General features: G+C 39.0%; 1 annotated feature.

Annotated features, from left to right (window-relative positions):
* Positions 12,681 to 13,181: an enhancer, noted in NCBI's record as "H3K27ac hESC enhancer chrX:146980170-146980670 (GRCh37/hg19 assembly coordinates)". NCBI's record gives its function as "activates a minimal SCP1, AML or CMV promoter by ChIP-STARR-seq in primed H9 embryonic stem cells {active_cell/tissue: H9 hESC(primed)}" and the evidence as "EXISTENCE:reporter gene assay evidence [ECO:0000049][PMID:30033119]".

Here is a 14,487-nt window from a genome sequence, read left to right on the forward strand (position 1 = left end):
TATATGTGTGTGTGTGTATATATATAAGCATCTGCATGGAATTTTTCCCATCTTTTTAAGTGTTTGAGGGTACACAGTAGATATATATATATTTATGGGGTACATAAAATATTTTCTACAGGCATGCGATGCAAAATAGTCACATCAGAGTGAATGGGGTAGCCATCCCCCCAGGCACTTATTCTTTGTATTATAAACAATCCAATTGTACTCTTTTAGTTATTTTGAAATATAGAACTTAATTATTTTTGACTACAGTCACCCTGTAGTGGTAGCAAAATACTAAGTCTTATTCATTCTTTCAAACTATTTTTGTACCTTTTAACCATGCCCAACTCCCGCCTGCCCAGGACCCCACTACCCTTTGCAGCCTCTGGTAGCCATCCTTCTACTCTCTATGTCCATAAGTTCACCTGTTTTGATTTTTAGTTCCCACAAATAAGTGAGAACATGCAAAATTTTTCTTTCTCTGCCTGCCTTATTTCACTTAACATCATGACCTCAAGTTCCATCCATGTTGTTGCCAATTACAGGATCTCATTCCTTTTTTATGGCTGCACAGTACTCCATTGCTTATATGTGCCATATTTTCTTTATCCATTTATCTGTTGATGGAGACTTAGGTTGCTTCCAAAGCTTGACTGTTATGAATAGTGCTGCAATAAACATGGAGTGCAGATATAACCTTGATACACTGATTTCCATTCTTTTGTGTATATACCCAGGGGTGGGTGTATATACCCAGAGTGAAATTCCGTCTCGGAAAAAAAAAAAAAAAAAAAAAAAAAGAGTTCTTTTGTGACCTAAATATGGTCTATCCTTGAGAAAATCTATGTGCTGAGGAAAGATGGTGTATTTTACAGATGTTGGATGAAATGTTCTGTAAATATGTATTAGGTTCATTTGGTCTACAGTTCAGATTCATTCTGATGTTTCTTTATTCACTTTCTGTTTGGAAGATCTGTCCAGTGCTGACAGTTGGGTATTAAAGTCTCCAGCTATTATTGTACTGGGGTCTATTTTCTCTCCTTAGCTCTAATACTATTTGCCTTACATATCTGGGTGCCCCAGTGTTGGGTGCACATATATTTACAATTGCTATATCCCATTGCTGAATTGGCCCCTTTATCATTAAATACTGTCCTTATCTCTTCATATAGTTTTTGTTTTGAAATATATTTTTTTCTGATGTAAGTATAGCTACTCTTGCTCTTTCTTGGTTTCCACTTGCATGCAATTTCTTTCTCCATCCCTTTATTTTCAGTCTGTGTGTGTCTTTATAGGTGAAATGTGTTTCTTATAGGCAACCAATCATTGTGTCTTGTTTTCATTTTTTTTTAATCCATTCAGCCACTCTATTGGAGTGTTTAGCCCATTTACATTCAATGTCATTATTGGTAAGTAATGACTTCTGCCTTTTTGTTATTTGTTTTCTGGTGGTTTTGTGGTCTTCTCTTCATTCTTCCCTTCCTTCCTGTATTCTATTCAGGAAAGACGATTTTCTCTGGTGGTTTTAATTTGGTGATTTTGATTTTTTTGTGTATTCATTATGTTTTTGATTTGAGGTTACCATGAAGCTTGCAAGTACTATCTTAGAATCATTATTTTAAGCTGATAAGAACATAATACTGTTTGCATAAACAGAGACAAAAAGAAACGTAATAACAATTCTACATCTTAACTTACCCCCCAACTTTCTTTTTGTTGTTTCTATTTATATCTTATTGCACTATGTCTTGAAAAGACATTTTAGTTATTATTATTATTTTTTTTTTTTTTTTGAGATGGAGTCTCACTCTGTCACCCAGGCTGGAGCGCAGTGGCACGATCTCGGCTCACTGCAAGCTCCGCCTCCCAGGTTCACGCCATTCTCCTGCCTCAGCCTCCTGAGTAGCTGGGACTACAGGCGCCCGCCACCATGCCTGGCTAATGTTTTTTTTTTTTTTGGATTTTTAGTAGAGACGGGGTTTCACCTGTGTTATCCAGGATGGTCTCGATCTCCTGACCTAGTGATCCGCCTGCCTCGGCCTCCCAAAGTGCTGGGATTACAGACATGAGCCACCGTGCCTGGCAGTTATTATTATTATTTTTAATTGGTTTATCCTTTAGTCTTTCTACATAAGAGGAGTTCACTCACCACAGTTACAGTGTTATAATATTATGCATTTTTCTATATACTTATTATTGCCATTGAGTTGCATACCTTCAGATGATTTCATCTTGATCATTAACGTCATTTTCTTTCTGATTGAAGTACTTCCTTTAGCATTTCTTGTAGGGAAGCTCTGATGTTGATGAAATCCCTCAGCTTTTGTTTGTTGGGAAAGTATTTCTTCTTCAGATTTGAAAGCTATTCTTACCGGATATACTATTCTAGGTTAAAAGATTTTTTCCTTTAGCACTTTAAATATGTCATGACACTCTCTCCTGGCCTGTAGGGTTTTCACTGAGAAATCTGCTGCCAGATGTATTGGGGCTCCATTGTATGTTATCTGTTTCTTTTATCTTTCTGCATTTAAGATCCCTTCTTTATCCTTGACCTTTGGGAGTTTGATTATTAAATGCCTGGAAGTAGTCTTTTTGGGGGTTAAATCTGCTTAATGTTCCATAACCTTCTTGTAATTGATTGTTGATATCTCTCTCTAGGTTTGGGAAGTTTTCTGTAATTGTCCCTTTTAATAAACTTTCTAATCCTTCTCTTTCTCTATCTCCTCTTTAAGGCCAATAACCCTTAGATTTGCCATTTCGAGGCTATTTTCTATATCCTGTAGGCATGCTTCCTTGTTTTTTATTCTTTTCTGTGTCCTGTGACTGTGTACTTTCAAATAGCCTGTCTTCAAGATCGCTAATTATCTCTTCTGCTTTATCAATCCTGCTATTAAGAGAATCTAATGCATTCTTCAGTATGTCAACTGCATTTTTCAAGTCCAGAATTTCTGCTTGATTCCTTTCATTTATTTCTGCCTCTTTGTTACATTTATCTGATACAATTCTGAATTTCTTCTCTGTGTTATGTTGAATTTCTTTGAGTTTCTTCAACACAGCTATTCTGAATTTTCTGTCTGAAAGTTCACATCTCTGTTTCTCCAGGATTGGTCCTTGGCACCTTATTTAGTTCATTTGGTGAGGTTCTTTTCCTGGATGGTGTTGATGCTCTTGGATGTTCATCTGTGTCTGGGCATTGAAGAGTTAGGTATTTATTGTAGTCTTCGATGTCTGGGCTTGTTTGTACCAATCTTTCTTAGGAAGGCTTTCCAGGTATTCAAAAGGACTTGAGTGTTGCGATCTAACCCATATTTGCATTAGGGGGAAGCCCAAGCCCTGTAACTCTGTGGTTCTTGGAGACTCGTAGAGGTACCACCTTATGGTCTTGAATAAGATCTGAAAGACTTCCCTGAATTACCAGGCAGAGACTCTTGTTCTCTTCCTTTACTTTCTCCCAAACAAATGGAGTCTCTCTCTCTGTTCTAAGCTACCTGGAGCTAGGGGTGGAGTGATACAAGCACCCTTGCATCCACCACCACTAGAACTGCACTGGGTCAGACTTGAAGCCAGCACAGCACTATGTGTTGTCCATAGCTTGCTGTAACCACTACCTGGCTACCGCCTACATTTGCTCAAGGCCCTGGGACTCTACAATCAGCAGTTGGTAAAGCCAGCTAGCCTCTTGTTCTTCTCTTCAAGGCAGCAAGTTCCCCAGGGCCACAGGCAGATCCAGAGGTGCTGTCCATCCAGGAGCTGGAGACTGGAGTCAAAAACCTTAGAAGTCTACCTGGTGTTCTACTGTACTGTGGTTGAGCTGGCACTCAAACCATGAGATGCAGCCTTTCCCACTGTTTCCTCCCCTTTCCAAAGTCAGAGGAGCCTCACCCCATAGCCAGTGCCACCACAGGTCATGGAACCTACTGCCAGACTACCGCAGATGTTCCCTTAAGGCCCCAAAGGATTATCAGTTAACGTGTGGTGAATGCTGCCTGGCCTAGGACTCAGGTTTTGGGGCAGTGGGCTCCCCGCTGGCCCAGGGCAGGTCCAGGAATGCCATCAAAGAGTCAAGTCCTGGAAAAAGGAATCCCAAGAGTCTGCTTGGTACTCTGCCCCACTGTGCCCAAGCTGGTTACCTGATTTGGGATTCTTATGAATGTGCTTTTTTGTTTTTAGTATGGATGTTAAATTGGTGTCTTTGCGGGTGGGACAGTTGGTGGAGCATTTTATTTGGCCATCTTGCTCTGCCCTTCTCCCATTTTGGGGGTTAAAATTTTAATGTGACAAAACAAATTTTAAAATTTAAAACATACCATGGGACTATATCTTTACAAACTCACACTAAGAAAGCATTTCTTAAGACACATAAAGAATGACAATAAAATAATAACTTTGAATTTATTAAAATCATTAACTTTTGTTCACAGAAAAAGACAACCCATAATCTGTCATTGGATTAAGAATTTTTTTTTAAAAAAAAGCAAAAAGCAAAGTAAAGACAAATTAAAAAGACAAGTCAAACTATGAGAGGATATTTGCAACAAATATGCCTGTCAAAACATTAATATCTAGAATACATAAAGAACTCCTACAAATCAATAAAACAAACAATTGAATAGAAAACTGGGTAAAAGTCGTGAACAAACATTTCACAGAAGGTGAAAAATGAATGTCATATAACCATGTAAAAAGATCTTCAACCTCATTAATAAATTAATAATCAGAGGAATATAAATATAATTTTATATCCACTAGCTTGTCAAAAATTCAGAAGTCTGATAATACCAAATGTTTTTCAGCATGAATATCATTAGGAAGTACTGGTGGGAGTATGTACACATATAAACACTTTGGAAAACAATTTTTTAGTTCATTTTTCATTAGGAATACCCCAGTTTTATGTGATGATTCATGAGTTTATCTTCTGTCCTGCCACAGTCATTGTATTCTAACCCCACATTTTTTTTTTTTTTAACTGAGATTGGCAAGCATGACAGCCATAGCTTCAGCTCCGGTTCTAGCTTACCCCAGTGGTTTTCAATTTCATTTGGTTCATTCCCTGGGAATTGCCCTTATTTGCTTTTGAGCTCAGATAACACTTTTGAGATGTTTGGAATAGTTTATCCAACATTTTTCTGGTGGTTTTTGCCATGGTACATTGTAAATTATTTTTTCAATCTCTTACATGAAATTAGTCTTTTCCTTTTTCTAACTTCTACTTTGGTCAATTTTTGTTATCATATACTAAAAGGAAATCAGTAAGCCCTCTCTGTTTTCAGATCTGCTGCTAAACACACATATGTAATTATTTACTTATAATTCTCACTATATATTTTATATGTGTTTACATCTTCTTTCTGCTTGCAAATTTTGTTAATTTTTGGTTTCTCTACGTTTTTTCTTAATCTTGCAAAGGGTTTAGCTAATTTATAGGTATTTTCAATGTAAAAGCATTTGCGTTTTATCCTATCTACTAACATTTTTCTTAATTCATTAATTTTAGCTTTTACATTTCTGAATTGCTTTTTCACTGTTCTTTTTCTAATATTTTAGATGAATAATTATTTGTTATATTCTTTTATTAAAATGAAGACATTTAAGGCTATGAATTTTCCTCTGAGAATACATATTGTGGTTTAAATTACTCCCGTTGCTTTCTGAATAGTTTTCAATTTTCTTTTTTTCTTTGATCCAAAGTTTATTTATAAATGTGTTTTTAATATAAGCAGATAAAGGCCGCCTTTATATTATCATTTTATTTAAATTGGATCTGTAAATTATATTTACAGATTAAATATAATCTGTAAGGGAACTAATTTTAAAATTCTGTTTCATCTTTCTTTTTGGACCAAATCCTGATTGATATTTTAAATATTCCATTACTTTCTCCCTTTTCCTCAAAAATAGTATGCTCACCAATCCACACATACCTATTAACTCAAGTTTATTGATTGTGTTATTTAAATCCTCTATGTATCAGACAGGAATTGTTTTCAGCTGCTAGAAAGAAAACCAGCACAACAGTAATTTCAACAAGAAAGAGATTTATTTTCTCTCTCTCACACACACAAAGCAAATCTGGCAACAGATAGTCCAGGAAAGATATGCCAGCTCTATGATGTCATTAACAATCTGGATTCCTTTGAGCTTTGCAATCTTGAATTCTACTTTGTATCCTCAAAGTTGCTTCATGGCCACAAGATGGCTGTTGCAATTTCGGCCATCATATCCAACATTATGGACAGAAGAAATAAGAAAGGGAAGGGGCAAAAGACATTTTCCAGTTGAGTCAGCCTTCTTTACATATCTTTCCTAAAACCTCACCCAATAATTTCTGTTTATAAATCAATGACCTCCTTCCACTCTCTTTAGCTGCTATGTTGTTTACTGAACAAAGGTTTATGTTTATGTTTATTAGAGTCTTGATTTTTACAATTATATAATGTTCTTATTTGTCCTGTTTAGTGCTTTTAACTTTAAATTCCACTTGTATCTTTTTTTATTTGCATTTGCCTAATATTTTTGGCCAACCCCTTAAGTTAAATATGTATCAATTTATTTAAGTGTATTTTTAATCTCCTGCCTCTGTAATTTAACGAGAGAGATCAGTCCATTCAAATATAATATAAAGTATCACGTTTTATTTTGTTTTACAGCTTGCTTTATATTTACTATTTATTTTGTATTGCTGTTTGCTATTTTTCCTTTCTTCTAATACACATATTTCTTTACTATTTACTTAAAATAGCATATCAAATGTGGCCTCTATCAAAATGTTCTATTTCTTCCCCATTTTTTTCCAATGCCAGGAAGATAAAACATTTAGTACACTTTCACCTCCCCCTACCTTCGTCTCCTTATCCTTTAAAAAGGCCTTTATCTCTCCTTACCTCCCATCTTTCAGCCTACCTCTATATTTGGTGCAGGAACAATTGGATACCTATTTGAAAAAAATCGAAGCTTAACCCATACCATCAATTTATACAAAAGTTAAACTGAAATGGATGAGGCCAAGCATGGTGGATCACGCCTGTAATCCTAGCACTTTGGGAGGCCAAGGTGGGCAGATCATTTGAGCTCAGAAGTTCAAGACCAGCCTAGGCAACATGGTAAAACCCTGTGTCTACAAAAAAAAAAAAAAAAAACCAAAAAAAAAAACACAAAAATTAGCCAGGTATGGTGGTGTGACCTGTAGTCTTAGATACATAGGAGGCTGAGGTGAGAGGATCTCTTGAGCACAGGAGGCAGAGGTTGCTGTGAGCCGAGATCGCACCACTGCACTCCAGCCTGGGTGGCAGAGCCAGACACTGACTCAAAAAAAAAAAAAAAAGAAAAGAAAAGAAAAAATAGATTTAAAATTTTTTAAATTGAAATGGATGATAAACCTATATCTAAAATCAAATCTATAAAACTTCTAGAATATAATATAGGAAAGAGACCTTTACCATCTTGGGGTAAGTAAAGACTCTATTAGGTAGAACACATAAAGCCCAATGTATAAAGAATAAATTTTACTACATCAAAACAGAATATTAAGATAAACAAACAACCTTTTAAAAATGGGCAAAAAATTTTTGGGCAGTTTACTATAGAAGATAAACACATGAATTTAACATGCTGCTGTTGGGAAAATACAAATTAAAACCCGTATGTGGTATCACTTCACACATATCAGGCTGGCGATTTTTTTTAATGACAATGCCCAGTGCTGGCAAAAATGTTCAGCAACATATATTGCTGGTGGCAATGCAGAATAGCCACTTTCAAAAATCAGCTAGCAGTTTCTCATAATAGTAAGCACACAATTACCATACAATCCAGCAATCCTGCTTCTGTACATTCACCTGAGAGAATAAAAAACTTGTATTCACACACATATTTCTATGCAAATTTTTATGCCAGGCTTATTCATAATCTCCTAAAAGGGAAAACAACCCAGTGTCTTCTAAACAATGATTAAACTGTGGTACATGTCCATATATGCACATAATGCACTACTACTCAGCAATACAAAGTAACAAACTACTGACACATGAAACAACATGGACAAAGTTCCAAAGCATTTTTCTAAGTGCACAAATTCAGACTCCAAAGGGAATACATTACATATGATTCCATTAATGTGACTTTCTGGGAAAGGTAAAAGGATAGGGAAAGAAAACAGGTAAGTTTTTGCCAGGGGCTGGGTATGAGAGGGAGAGACTGTGATTGTACAACTGTGATGATTTATCAAAATTCATAGAACCATATATCGAAGGCTGTAAATTGTACTTTATGTAAATTACACTTCAATGAAAAGGACAAAAAAATCCAAAATTACTCCATTTTGCACTCTGTGGTTACCTCATGATCAACACAGTGATAAGGCACAAAGTCTGTTCCTTCCAAATAATCTAGTGAATAGAGTTCATAAAATCCTCAAGAATGGTGTATGGTTTTGTCAGAACCATAAGAGGTCAACTAGAAGTTGAAATTCCTACTCAGACTTGGGTGGGACCGATGCCAGTAATATATTCTTCAGGAATTTAACTGCTTCAGATGAACTATTTTCTTCTGGCTGGTAATACTAGCAGTTCTCAGTTTGCATGTCCAATCAGCACCTGTTTTCAGCAGCAATTTAACTTGGGGGCAGGGCTCAGTCAAGCCTGTCTCCGCAGAGTTGCTTTCTGAAAAGGTTTTTTTCTAATTCTATGTTTTCCTTGTGCCTGCAGTCAGACTCTTTGAGCTCTGAAGCTAGGCAGTGCAGCTTTTCTTCCACAGGTCTTTCTGATTTCCTTTGCCTACCTGACTCATGGCATCCTTCATTGTGGTTGGTTCTGGCTGTTCATGCAGGAGGAGCTCATTGTGACCTGACAGTGATAGGGAGGCACGGGATCTCCTATGCCTTGCTCAGTTTACTCCTGTCCTGTGTGCCCAATGCCAGAACTACTACTGAACTGTTAATACTATAGATTTCCCTCCTGTCCAATAATACTGTCCACTTAACAACCCCTCGCATCTTTTACAATCTGCACTTTCCCAACTTTTATTAGACAGTCCAAATTTTCCATTTGCCAGCTCAGATACCACAGCCTCAAGCCAAGATTTTAAGTCTAAGAAAAAGAAAATAAAAGAAAAGCAAACAAACTATTCTTTTCCCAAGACTTGTGGCCTTGGGAAAAAATATTCAGTAACTATCTGGGCTTATTGAAAACATCCCAGCTCCAAATGCTAATGTTGAAGAATTAATTTCTTCTGAATAATTAGTTGGTCAGTTTCCATGAATAATAATAGTGTGTTTAAAATGTAGCTTACCAATTCAGGAGGTTGAGGCAGGAGGATAGCTTGAGGCCAGGAGTTTGAGACCAGCTTGGGCAACATACCAGGACCCCATCTCTACAAATAGATAATAATAATAATAAAATAATAAAGATCTTGTCCCAGTGCAATCGATTCCTTGCCTCCTCAGTGTGCCAGCTTTATGAATGCTTTTACTGGTTCTTTTACATGGAGAACTCCAGCAGGAGGCCATGGGTTCTGGAGCCAGGATGCATTCTGAAAAACTGATAATATATTTAGTATCAGTCCTCCTGTCCATGCAGGCCACTGTTCTTGAACCACATTTGCTTGATCTCTCTATACATTCTTTCTTAATAGGCCTCCCATTCCTCATGAAAAAATAGACTTATTGCAGATCATTCTACCAGCAATTTTGCGGACATGCCAAAATTCCAGCTGTGAAAATACCTTAGGCTCATACTAGTACATTTGGATCTCATTCATTCAAATTACAGTTGCTGTTTTTTCTATGTAAATACTTATTTTGTCATGTAATAATTTTTCCTCCAGCATTCCCTTAATTTTTTTCTGTTTTTTATTTGTTTGAGACAGAGTCTGGTTCTATCACTCAGGCTGGAGTGCAGTGGTGGGATCTCCACTCATGGCAACCTCCACCTCCCCAACTCAATCGATCCTCCCACTTCAGCCTCCCAAGTAGCTGGGACTACAGTCACACACCACCACACCTGGCTAATTTTTGTATTTTGTTGTACAGATGGGGGTCTCATCATGTTGCCCAGGCTCGTCTCAAGCTCCTAGGCTCAAGCAATCCATCTGCCTTGGCCTCCCATAGTGCTGGCATTGTAGGTGTGAGTCATTGTGCTCAGCTGCCCTTAATTTTTATAATGAGGAAATGTTGGAAGAAAAATTATTTTCCTTTTTATTTTAGAATATTTTTCAATTTACAAAAAAGGTACAAAACTGATACAGAGTTCTCATATAAGCTTCACCCCTCACCCAGTTTCCCCTAATGTTAACACTTTATATTAGTGTGTCTGGAATTGGTGGGTTCTTGGTCTCCCTGACTTCAAGAATGAAGCTGCCGACCCTCGCGGTGAGTGTTACAGTTCTTAAAGATGGTGTGTCCGGGGTTTGTTCCTTCTGATATTCGGACGTGTCCGGAGTTTTTTCCTTCTGGTGGGTTCGTGGTCTCGCCGACTTCAGGAGTGAAGCCGCAGACCCTCGCAGTGAGCATTACAGCTCTAAAGGGCGGTGAGTCCGGAGTTGTTAGTTCCTCCTGGTGGGTTTGTGGTCTCGGTGGTTTCAGGAAAGAAGCTGCAGACCTTCATGGTGAGTGTTACAGCTCATAAAGACAGCACAGACCCAAAGAGAGACTAGCAGCAAGATTTCTTTCGAAGAACAAAAGAACAAAGCTCCTACAACATTGAAGGGAATGGGAGTGGGTTACCGCTGCTGGCTGGGGTGGCCTGCTTTTAATTCCCTTATCTGGCCCCACCCACATCCTGCTGATTGGTCCATTTTACTGAGAGCTGATTGGTCCGTTTTACAGAGAGCTGATTGGTCCGTTTTGATAGACTGCTGATTGGCACGTTTACAAACCTTTAGTTAGACACAGAGTGCTGATTGGTGCATTTACAATCCTTTAGCTAGACACAAAAGTTCTCCAAATCCCCAGCCGATTAGCTAGACACAGAGCGCTGATTGGTGCATTTACAAACCTTTAGCTAGACACAGAGTACTGATTGGTGCATTTAAAAACCTTTAGTTAGAAAAGTTCTCCAAGTCCCCACCTGTCCCAGAAGCCCAGCAGGCTTTACCTCTTACTGGCACTCGCCAGGGGACTTTGGAGTACCTAGCCCAGGCACTCTGGCAGCCCAGATGGAGCTCCTCCCAGACAACCTAGAGGAAAAAACGGGAAACGACAAAGAGACGGAGACCCGCCATGGTGGCCAATGAGCCGGCAAAGAGGTAACGGAAGTCCACGCACGGGACCCAGCCTCCGATCAAGCCCAACAGGCGCCAGCCAGCTGCACCCAGTGTGGGGCCGCTGAGCCCGCACCCACCCGGAACCCGCACTGGCCCACGAGCGCGCGTGAAGCCCGGGCTCCCGCCAGCACCTCTCCCTCCACACCTCCCCATGAGCAGAGGGAGTCAACTCCGGCCTCGGCCAGCCCCAGAGAGAGGCCCCCACAGCACAGCGGCGGGCTGAAGGGCTCCTCGAGTGCGGCCAGAGCAGACGCGGAGGCCGAGGAGGCTCCGAGAGCAAATGAGGGCTGCTAGCACGTTGTCACCTCTCATTAGCATGTTACACTTGTCACAACTAAGAAAGCAACATCTGTATGTTACTATTAACTAAACTGCAGACTTTTTTCAGATTTTGCTCATTTTTTCACTACCTTCCTTTTTCTCTTCCAGGATCTAATCCAGGATACCACATTGTGTTTTCTCAATATGTCTTTTTAGTCTCCTTTGGTCTATTGACATTTCTCAGTCTTCTCACTTTAATTTTTAAATGATTGGAATTTTTTTTTTTTTTTTTTTTTTGGAGACAGGGTCTTGCTCTGTTGCTCAGGTGGGAGTACAGTGGTACAATCTTGGCTCACTGGAACCTCTGCCTCCCGGTCTCAGGTGATCCTCCCACCTCAGCCTCCTGAGTAGCTGGGACTAAAGGCACATACCACTATGCCTGGCAATTTTTTTTTTTTTTTTTGGTACAGATGATGTCTCCCCATGTGGCCCAGGCTATGGTTAGGATATTTTTATGTCAGTTTGACAGGAAGGATCTGAGGCCTTCTCTGCCAAGGTACTACAATTTATGAAAAATGTTATTTCCCAATAATTCTAAAAAGGCATATTTGTCAACAGAGAGGAGCAAGAAAAATCTAAAATGTTGCCTCATAATATAATCATGGATTATGCTACTGAGGTTGGATTTTCCTTTACTTATTTAAAACAGGCAACTTTTTCATACAGGCTTGGAGCAAACATCTCTACACTTAAGCCATATCCTCTGCTCCATCAACTAGTTTGCCATTTTGAGTAATGGGATGAAGGGTGCAGCACTCACAGCAAGCTGCACGCCCAACACCATCATCCTCTTCTTCCAAAAGAAATGCAGTTCTGTTTAGGACAGCAAGGTGTCTGGCTACAATCCTCAGGCTTCCTTGTAGCTATGTGTGGTCAGGTAACATGGTCCTAGCCAATGAGATGTAAGCAGAAATCTACTGAATGTAGATTTCTCAATGCAGGGAGAGCAAGTATTTTCCTGATTATTATTTTTTAAAGGAGCAGCTGGCATGTGCCTTTTGCACTATGTTCTTAAACCCTTTTTCCTGCATAAAATGTAAACTCATGGTCTAGAGAAGGAGCAGTCAACTTCCCAGCATGGGAATTTCAAGGAGGATTAGTGGGAAGAAGAAGGCGCCACCAGACTACATCCTGACTGCCTGTCTCCAGACTTCTTGTTACATAAAAAGAAAAAATGAAATAAAATAAAATAAACCCTTTACTTGTTTAAGTCAATATTTTTCAGATTTAAGTGATATATAGTCAAATGTAACCAGATCAATAAACAGAGCCACACTTGTGACATGTACTGACCCAGTAAGTGCAGTAGACAGTGACAGTTAGTAACTACCTTAAATAATCTCTGAGAAAGATGTCAGGAGATTAGAGACAGACAATATTCCACATTTCAATATTTCAAAAGAAACATACAGACCTCCCAGCTTAATCAACTCCTGGAAAAATTCTAAACACTATTCTCTCTAAACAGAGTCACACTTCTGAAAGACATTGTTTACTGCCCTTCAAGTAAAAGTTCACTTAACTTTGGCAGCTCATTGAGCCCAAATTAATGCACAAGCCAAGGTCCATTGCAGCTTAGAAATATTTCTCTGCTTCAATATTAAGAGCTCTCTTAAAGCACTCCTTGATATGAGAACAAACTAGTCATGAGTGCTGCTCCTCAGAGGCAAAATTCTGTGTGGGTTTGTGGATGATGAGGGCAATACATGCAAAGGGCTAGGTCCACAATTCAGTTTTAACATCGTTGAAAAGACATTTAATGTGTGCAGACACTGGTTGAGTTATTTACATAGATTATCTCATTTGATGCCCACACCTCCAATGAGATGCATGCTTTTATTATCCCCATTTTATGGATAAGGAAACTGAAGCATAGAGAGATCAAGTAACTTGCCCAAGAAGACTGGTTAAAGAAGAGCCTCATTCCTAATTCATAAAAACCTTAGAAATCTATCCTTTGTTTGGATCTGATAACCAAAATGAGTGATTGTGCTGTAAGTCTCAAAACATCAAGGTTTATTGAGCCAGCTTGAGGGTGCACCAGGAAAAATGTGAGTCACAGAAGCATCTGTGGCTGTTTTTTTCCCAAAGAGGTGAACAGGAGGTTTAGTATTTACACATTTTCCTTAAAAATGAGGGGTGGTAGTGAGACAAATAATTATATATTTGTGAGACTTTAGTGGCCAGTAAATCCACACTTACATAAAACAAGGTGAACATTTGAAGAAAAAGGGAATGGAGAAAGCAAATTTCTTGGGGAGAGGTAAATAAATGATTAATCTCATTTTGTCTTTGTTCTGTACCTGGGACAATAATCTAGTAGTCTTTTGAAAGGGCTGGTTTCTGTTTAGCCCTTAGGGAATAAAACCTATGACTGTTAGCGAGGGAGGGAGTATAATGAGGCGTGTCCAATCTCTCATCCTGTCATGGCCATGAATTCAGCTTTCAAGGTTTCTCTGCAGTTCCCCTGGCCAAGAGGGGCTCTGTTCATTCAGATGAAGGCTTAGAATTTTACTTTTATTTCTCAGATCCATCTGTGCAGCTCAGGGAAACTACTAAGGCTCCCACCTCCTTAAAAATTGCCATTTTCTCATGCTACTGGTCACTGACGCCTTGGTTTAATGCTTTTTCCTTTTTTTTTTTTCCTTTCTTAAACTTTTTTTAGAGACGGAGTCTTATTTTGTTGCCCAAGCTGGGGTGCAGTGGCCTGATCGTAGCTCACTGTAGCCTCAAACTCCTGGCCAGAAGTGATCCTCCAACCTCAGCCTCCTAAGTAACTGAGACTATAGGCATGCACCACCATGCCAGGCTAATTTTCTTACTTTCTTGTAGAGTGGTGGGGGGTGCGGGGGGGAAGTCTCACTATGTTGTCCAGGCTTGGCTCAAACTCCTGGCCTCAAGCAATCTTCTCAACTTGGC

The sequence above is a fragment of the Homo sapiens genome, chromosome X, assembly GCF_000001405.40.
Source record: "Homo sapiens chromosome X, GRCh38.p14 Primary Assembly".
NCBI classification, from domain to species: Eukaryota; Metazoa; Chordata; class Mammalia; order Primates; family Hominidae; genus Homo; species Homo sapiens.